This window comes from Homo sapiens, chromosome 8 (genome assembly GCF_000001405.40).
Source record: "Homo sapiens chromosome 8, GRCh38.p14 Primary Assembly".
Classification (NCBI taxonomy): Eukaryota; Metazoa; Chordata; class Mammalia; order Primates; family Hominidae; genus Homo; species Homo sapiens.
The window spans coordinates 109,138,508-109,140,233 of NC_000008.11; the positions used below are offsets into that span (position 1 = coordinate 109,138,508).

The following is a 1,726-nucleotide window of genomic DNA, read 5'->3' on the forward strand; positions in this document are numbered from 1 at the left end:
ATGCCATGTTGGACTTTAAAGGCCAGTTTTTTATAAGACTTTGTGATTTAAGGCAATGAATTGAGTTTATAAATCTTTCAGATGTCAGTTGCCTGAGAGTATTAGCTTCTGAGGGTTAGTTTAGATTACACATTCTCCAGTTCATAGACCCATGCCAACTGGAGTCAGTGAATGTATAAATAATGAAAGCTCATTTATTAAGTAATAATTTATTAAACACCTATGATATGCCAGGCACTGTACTAGGACAAGGCCATTCCATTCTCAGTTGTGAATTGACATATATTTAGTTAATACTGAAATAATTTTTTTTTTAACATAGAGATCCGCAAAGTGCTTTGGAGCCATGCAGACTAAGTGGTACATTCTTTCTGAAGATGTCAGGACAGCCTTTACAGAGAAAGCAACATTCAAGAAAGGTTTTTAACATGAGTAAAATCTTGAAAAAAAGAGAAAAGAACCAAAAGAAAGTATTTTCAGGAAAAGGGAATTTCATGGACAAAAGCATAAAATATAAACAAGTATAATAATTTCACAGAATGTTAATGGGCAGAAAATTTGTTAAGATGATTTTAGGAAAGGAATAGATAGGTGATGTGGAAATCAGTAAGCAACTGGATTGAGATACTAAAGACATGTATCGGGGACCTGCCCCGATAATCATGTAGGTTCTTTTCTATTTTTCCTAAGCGTCAGCTGGCTTGAGAAATAAAGGGACAGAGTACAAAAGAGAAAAATTTTAAAGCCGGACGTCCGGGGGAGGCATCACACATTGGTAGGATCCGTGATGCCCCCCAAGCCACAAAAACCAGCAAGTTTTTATTAGGGATTTTCAAAAGGGGAGGGAGTGTGTGAATAGGTGTGGTTGACAGACATCAAGTACTTAACAGGGTAATAGAATATCACAAGGCAAGTGGAGACAAGGTGAGATCACAGGACCACAAGACCGAGGTGAAATTAAAATTGCTAATGAAGTTTCGGGCACCATTGTCATTGATAACATCTTATCAGGAGACAGAGTTTTGAGATCAACCGGTCTGACCAAAATTTATTCAGCTGGAATTTCCTCTTCCTAATAAGCCTGGGAGCGCTATGGGAGACTGGGGTCTATTTCACCCCTGCAGCCTCAACCATAAGAGACAGGCCATGCCCAGGGGGGCTGTTTATAAGCCGATACCTCCAGGCGCGTATTCTCTTTCTCAGGGACGTTCCATGCTGAGAAAAAGAATTCAGCGATATTTCTCCCATTTGCTTTTGAAAGAAGAGAAATATGGCTCTGTCCTGCCCGGCTCACTGGCGGTCAGAGTTTAAGGTTATCTCTCTTATTCCCTGAACAATTGCTGTTATCCTGTTCTTTTTTCAAGGTGCTCAGATTTCATATTGCTCAAACACACATGCTGTACAATTTGTGCAGTTAATGCAATTATTACAGGGTCCTGAGGTGACATACATCCTTCTCGGCTGACAGGATTAAGAGATTAAAGTAAAGACAGGCATAGGAAATCACAAGGGTATTGATTGGAGAAGTGATAAGTGTCCATGAAATCTTCACAACATATGTTTAGAGATTGCAGTAAAGACAGGCATAAGAAATTACAAAAGTATTAATTTGGGGAACTAATAAATGTCCATAAAATCTTCACAATCCATGTTCTTCTGTCATGGCTTCAGCCGGTCCCTCCGTTTGGGGTCCCTGACTTCCTGCAACAGACATGGGTTGGAAATT

The 1,726-nt window shown here is 39.4% G+C and overlaps 1 annotated feature.

Annotated features, from left to right (window-relative positions):
* Positions 504–1,491: an enhancer, noted in NCBI's record as "OCT4-NANOG hESC enhancer chr8:110151240-110152227 (GRCh37/hg19 assembly coordinates)". NCBI's record gives its function as "activates a minimal SCP1, AML or CMV promoter by ChIP-STARR-seq in primed H9 embryonic stem cells {active_cell/tissue: H9 hESC(primed)}" and the evidence as "EXISTENCE:reporter gene assay evidence [ECO:0000049][PMID:30033119]".